Source organism: Homo sapiens, chromosome 14, assembly GCF_000001405.40.
Source record: "Homo sapiens chromosome 14, GRCh38.p14 Primary Assembly".
NCBI lineage: Eukaryota > Metazoa > Chordata > Mammalia > Primates > Hominidae > Homo > Homo sapiens.
In genome coordinates this window covers 102,579,125-102,585,124 of record NC_000014.9, presented here as the reverse complement: position 1 = coordinate 102,585,124, position 6,000 = coordinate 102,579,125, and the positions used below count along the sequence as shown (strand labels likewise).

At 53.3% G+C, this 6,000-nt stretch overlaps 1 pseudogene, besides 3 other annotated features; it reads left to right on the top strand.

Moving 5' to 3' along the window:
* Nucleotides 390-918: an enhancer, noted in NCBI's record as "H3K27ac-H3K4me1 hESC enhancer chr14:103050544-103051072 (GRCh37/hg19 assembly coordinates)". NCBI's record gives its function as "activates a minimal SCP1, AML or CMV promoter by ChIP-STARR-seq in primed H9 embryonic stem cells {active_cell/tissue: H9 hESC(primed)}" and the evidence as "EXISTENCE:reporter gene assay evidence [ECO:0000049][PMID:30033119]".
* On the top strand, nucleotides 1,948-2,237 carry RN7SL546P (RNA, 7SL, cytoplasmic 546, pseudogene; annotated as a pseudogene).
* Nucleotides 4,193-4,877: an enhancer, noted in NCBI's record as "H3K27ac-H3K4me1 hESC enhancer chr14:103046585-103047269 (GRCh37/hg19 assembly coordinates)". NCBI's record gives its function as "activates a minimal SCP1, AML or CMV promoter by ChIP-STARR-seq in primed H9 embryonic stem cells {active_cell/tissue: H9 hESC(primed)}" and the evidence as "EXISTENCE:reporter gene assay evidence [ECO:0000049][PMID:30033119]".
* Nucleotides 4,878-5,564: an enhancer, noted in NCBI's record as "H3K27ac-H3K4me1 hESC enhancer chr14:103045898-103046584 (GRCh37/hg19 assembly coordinates)". NCBI's record gives its function as "activates a minimal SCP1, AML or CMV promoter by ChIP-STARR-seq in primed H9 embryonic stem cells {active_cell/tissue: H9 hESC(primed)}" and the evidence as "EXISTENCE:reporter gene assay evidence [ECO:0000049][PMID:30033119]".

Sequence of the window (6,000 nt, the reverse complement as noted above, 5' to 3'; positions counted from 1 at the left end):
CTCTTGTGTGTCTGGAATCCCGTGCCCAGCACAGAGCCTGCCACGCAGCAAGGGCTGCTTCAGTCACCACTGCTGACTTTGTCTTGGGGTCAGGCTGGGACATTTAAACCAGACCCCAGTAAGAGTGTAGATATATTGGCAGGGATATAGATAATGAGCAGAGCACTGGCTTCCCAGCAGCCTCGCAGCAGACAGATACCGGCTACACCAACATTTAGACCCTCAGAGAAAAGGGTGTTCTTTTCTCTGTCTAGAAACTGCCTTCCAAGAGTGGTTTCCTGGGCTGGGCACAGTGGCTTACACCTGTAATCCTAGCATTTTGGGAGGCCGAGTCGGGCGGATCAGTTGAGGTCAGGAGTTCGGGGTCAGCCTGGCCAACATGGTAAAGCCCCGTCTCTACTAAAAATACAAAAATTAGCCAGGCGTGATGGTGGGCGCCTGTCTTCCCAGCTACTCAGGAGGCTGAGGCAGGAGAATCGCTTGAACCCGAGAGGGGGAGGTTGCAATGAGCCTAGATCGTGCCACTGTACTCCAGCCTGGCGGACAGAGCAAGACTCCATCTCAAAAAAAAAAAAAGAAAGGTTTCCTGGCTGAGGACCTACCCCTTGTCCACAAGAGTGACAACTAGCCCTCCCGTCCCCCAGGATCTTTCAGTAAAAGACAAACCAGGGAACTCTCCCTGGGACAGACAGACAGATACGGATGGCCCTAGTGGGCAGGGGTGGGACGTGGAAAGGCTTGCTGGCATTCAGTCCTGCGGATGGTCAGGCCTGGCCCAGCTAGATGGGCCTCCATTCACCTCTCGTTCACAGATGAGAGACACATGGGGCTTTTCCCCAGGACACTGCAAGTACTGGGCCTGTCAAGAGTGACACGAGGGTGCCCTGGGAGGTGGGATACCTGGGCCGTACTCTTTCCTCTACCAGCTTAGATACCACGACACCCTTCCAACTGCCATCCCCTAATGACATGACAGCCAGAGATCATCTTTGAAACAAGGGCTGGATCACTTCCTTCCTGGCTTACAACCCCCACCACCCCCCACCCCCACCCCCGGTCCCTACGGGGATTTCCTGTGGGCCAAGGATGAAATTCCAAACACTCCACAGCTGGCCCCAGGCACATGAGGCATGGCCCTGCCTCCAGCTCCACTTCGACTCCTGGCCTCATGTCTCCCCTCCCCTTCACACCCTGCACCTGCCTCAGGGCCTTTGCATAAGAGCAACAACTAGCCCTCCCCTCCTCCAGGATCTTTCAGTAAAAGACAAACCGGGGAACCCTCCCTGGAACAGACAGACAGAGAGATGGATGGCCCTAGGAGGCAGGGGTGTGACACGGAGAGGCCTGCTGGCATTCGGCTGTTTCTAGGCCGGGAACACCTTTCCCCCAATCTTCCCAGGCTTCCTCTGCCTTACCCCACCTACATGTCACCTCCTCCAGGAGCCTTCTGACCATCCCATCCATGGGAGGTCCCCACCCCTGCCCACTCCGGGGCTGTGCCTCATTACCAGCCCTGTCTCAGCTGCAGCCCTGGGACTCTTGGTTCTTGTATCTCTCTCCCTCCCCAGACCCCACCCCGCCCAGGACCTCTTGGTGTTGCCGTCCTGCTTGCACTGCTCCAGTGTTCAGCAGTGCCTGGTCTAGAGGAGAATGTGTCTCAGAGTCTCCTCTGCTGCGCACACATCTTGGGGCTCCTGGGAGTGACGCAGGGGATAGCCGAAGACCCTCTTCTCCTCCAGCCATCTCCCTCAATTTCCCCTAGCATCTGCCTTGCTGGCAGCCCCATATCATGTCTCTCCCTGCACTGGCCTAGCACACGGAGGGGAGAAGGGAGTGCCTGCTTCATGGACATGGGTTTCCTGCTGGAACTTCACTGTGGAGATGGTTGTGCAACATCGTGAATGTACTGTATGTCCCTGAATTGTACATTTGAAAATGATTTAAATGGCCAGGCGTGGTGGCTCACACAGCTTTGGGAGGCTGAGGCAAGAGGATCGCTTGAGCCCAGGAGTTCTGGGCTGTAGTGCGCTATGCCGAGAGGGTGTCCGCACTAACTTTGGCATTAATATGGTGACTTCCGAGGAGCAGGGGACCACCATGTTGCTTAAGGAGGGGTGAACCACCACCCCAGGTCGGAAATGGAGCAGGTCAAAACTCCCAGGCTGATCAGTAGCGGAATTGTGCCTGTGAATAGCCACTGCACTCCAGCCTGGGCAATACAGCAAGACCCTGTCTCTCTTTTTTCTTTTCTTTTTTTTTTTTTTTGAGACGGAGTCTCACTGTCACCCAGGCTGGAATGCAGTGGTGCAATCTCGGCTCACTGCAACCTCCGCCCCCTGGGTTCAAGCAATTCTCCTGCCTCAGCCTCCCGAGTAGTTGGGATTACAGGGGTCTGCCACCTCACCCCTAAAATGTATGTAAAAATACAATACTAATTATTGTATTTTTAGTAGAGTTGGGGTTTCACCATCTTGACCAGGCTGGTCTTGAACTCCTGACCTTGTGATCCACCTGCCTCGGCCTCCCAAAGTGCTGGGATTACAGGCGTGAGCCACCGTGCCTGACAACCCTGTCTCTTAAAAAAAAAAAAAAAAAAAAAATTATAGGCCGGGCGCAGTGGCTCAAGCCCGTAATCCCAGCACTTTGGGAGGCCGAGGCGGGCGGATCACCTGAGGTCAGGAGTTCGAGACCAGCCTCAACATGGAGAAACCCTGTCTCTACTAAAAATACAAAATTAGCCGGGCGTGGTGGCGCATGCCTGTAATCCCAGCTACTCAGGAGGCTGAGGCAGGAGAATTGCTAGAACCCGGGAGGCAGAGGTTGCAGTGAGCCGAGATCACGCCATTGCACTCCAGCCTGGGCAACAAGAGTGAAACTCTGTCTCAAAAAAAATAATAAAGTAAAATAAAATAAATTACAGGGATGAGGCAGGGAGGACAAAAAAAAAGAAAAATTTATTATTATTATTATTTTTGTTGTTGTTGTTGAGATGAAGTCTCGCTCTGTCGCCCAGGCTGGAGTGCAGTGGTGCAATCTCGGCTCACTGCAAGTTCTGCCTCCCAGGTTCACGCATTTCTCCTGCCTCAGCCTCCCTAGTAGCTGGGACTACAGGCGCCTGCCACCACACCCGGCTAATCTTGTTTTTTGTATTTTTAGTAGAGACAGGGTTTCACCATGTTAGCCAGGATGGTCTCGATCTCCTGACCCCATGATCCATCCGCCTCAGCCTCCCAAAGTGGTGGGATTACAGGCGTGAGCCACCACACCCGGCCAACAAATTATTTTTTACAATTCCACACCCAATGTCAACTCTGCCTCCAGACACATCTGGAGTCCAGTCCTCTCTCGTTCCCCCACTGTCCCCACCATGGGGCAGGCCTCCTCACATCTCACCTGGCCTCCTTGCTTCTATCTTTGAAGCATGGGGCACAGAAGAATACGGCTAATACAGAAACCATATCACGTCTGGTCCTGCTCTAGACCGTCACCCAGAACAAAAACATAGGCTTGGTCGGGCACAGTGGCTCACTTTGGGAGGCTGAGGCGGGTGGATTGCCTGAGCTCAGGAGTTGAAGACCAGCCTGGGCAACAACGGTAAAACCCCGTCTCTACTAAGATACAAAAAATTAGCCAGGCATGGCAGCATGCACCTGTAATCCCAGCTACTCGGGAGGCAGAGACAGGAGAATCGCTTGATCCTGAAAGGCGGAGGTTGCAGTGAGCCGAGATATTGCGCCACTGAATTCCAGTCCAGGCGACAGAGCAAGACTCCATCTCAAAAAAAAAAAAAACAAAACAACAACACCAAAAAAAAAAACCATAGGTTTGGCTGGGTGTCATGGCTCACACCTGTAAGTCCAGTACTTTGGGAGGCTGAGGCGGACAAATCACTTGAGGCTATGAGTTCAAGACCTGTCTGCACAACATAGGGAGACTCCATTTCTGCAACAACAACAAAAACAAAAATTTTAAATTAAATTTAAAAATTAAGGCCAGGTGCAGCTCACGCCTGTAATCTCAGCACTTTGGGAGGCGGGCAGATCACCTGAGGTCAGGGGCTCAAGACGAGCCTGGCCAACATAGCGCAATCCTGTCTTTACTAAAAATACAAAAAAAATTACCTGTGCAGGTGGCAGGCAGCTTTAATCCCAGCTACTCAGGAGGCTGAGGCAGGAGAATCGCTTGAACCCAGGAGGCGGAGGTTGCAGTGAGCAGAGATGGCGCCATTGCACTCCAGCCTGGGTGCAGAGCATGGTGGCACACACTTGAGCCCAGGAGTTTGAAGTAACAGCGAGCTCTAGCCACTGCACTCCAGCCTGGGAGACAGAGGGAGACCCTGTCAACAACAACAACAACAAAAATAGAAAGAAAAGAAAGGCTTTCCAGCAGTTTACAAGGCCCTCCACAAGCAGCAAGCAGGCCTCCAGTGGCCTTTTGTGACCCAGTCTTGTCATGTTGCCTCCCTGAGTCACCACCTGCTCTAGCCCGCCTGGCCTCCCTGATGCTCCTGGAACAACCCAGTCCTGCCCGAGTGCAGGGCCTTTGTGCCTGCCGCTCCCTGTGCTGGAGGGCTCTTCCCCTGACACCCCTTGGGCTCCCTCCTGCCCCCTTCAAATTCTCACTCGCATGTCACCTTCTCAGCAAGGCCATCCCTGACAGCCCCACCCCTGGGCTCTCCCTTCTATGTGTCACCCCTGGTGTATCTGATTTGATTTCTATGGTATGGCCCCCCTGGGGATGGCAGCCTGTGAGAGCAGAGATTTTTGCCTGTTTTGCTCCCCAGAGCCTACAGCAGTGCGTGGCACATAGCAACTTCATGCCCACCTGAGAAATGAATGAGCCATTTTCCAGGGGAGGACACTGAGGCCCAGGGGGCCAGAGCCCTGTCTCGAAGTCACACAGCTGTGACAGGCAGCGCGCGGGACTCCTCCGGCATCTCTCCCGGCTCCCAGGTCCTTCCAGCTCAAGCTGCTTGTGATTTTGGTTAGTATCCACCCCGTGGAAGACTGAGTGTCCTCACAGCTTTCTCATCTTCTTGCTGAGAAGGCAAATATTCAAAAATACTTTGACAATGACATTCTCCAGTTCCCGAGGCTGTGTGCGATGCCAAAAATGATGTGACTAATTAGCAGACCACGGGGCCCAGCAGCCCAAGAAGGGCGCCAATCCACACATCCTGGCATCTGTGCTCCCGGGGAAGGGGGCCTGGGCCAGGTCAGGTGCTGCCTCTGGCTGCCTGAGAGCCCCTGGACCTCTCAGGGCCTCAGTTTCCTTTTTTTTTTTTTTTTTTTTTGGAGACAAGAGTTTCACTCTTGTTGCCCAGGCTGGAGTGCAATGACGCAATCCCGGCTCACCACAACCTCCGCCTCCCAGGTTCAAGCGATTTTCCTGCCTCAGCCTCTGAGTAGCTGGGATTACAGGCATGCGCCACCATGCCTGGCTGATTTTGTATTTTTAGTAGAGACAGGGTTTCTCCGTGTTGGTTAGGCTGGTCTCAAACTCCCAACCTCAGGTGATCCACCCGCCTCAGCCTCCCAAAGTGCTGGGATTACAGGCACGAGCCACTGCGCCCGGCCTGTTTTTATTTTTTATTTTTATTTTTTATTTTTGGATCAATGTGAAGTCATGTTTCCCCATTTATAAATGAGGGGGCTTTTGGCTCAGATCCAGACCCAAATTTTGTCTGCTGCAGGAAGCTTCAGTGCCCAGTCCCTAGAGGACAATGCGGTAACTCAGGGCAGGGTTTGGTGTTGATGTCATTCTTCCTGACAGTCTGGGAGCTCCCAGACACCTGAGGTTCATCTAGGTTCCTCGAGTCATCTCCAATACCCCCAAGTCTCATTTTGTCCCAGGTGCTGGGGACACAGCAACAGGATTTTATGTCACCACGCTGCATCCCCCTCTCAGCAGGGCCTGGGCTTTCTGCTCTTGGTCACTTCTGAAGGTGCCTAGCACAGGATCAGTGCCCCAAAACGAAATTCCAGTGGTGTCAGCCATTAT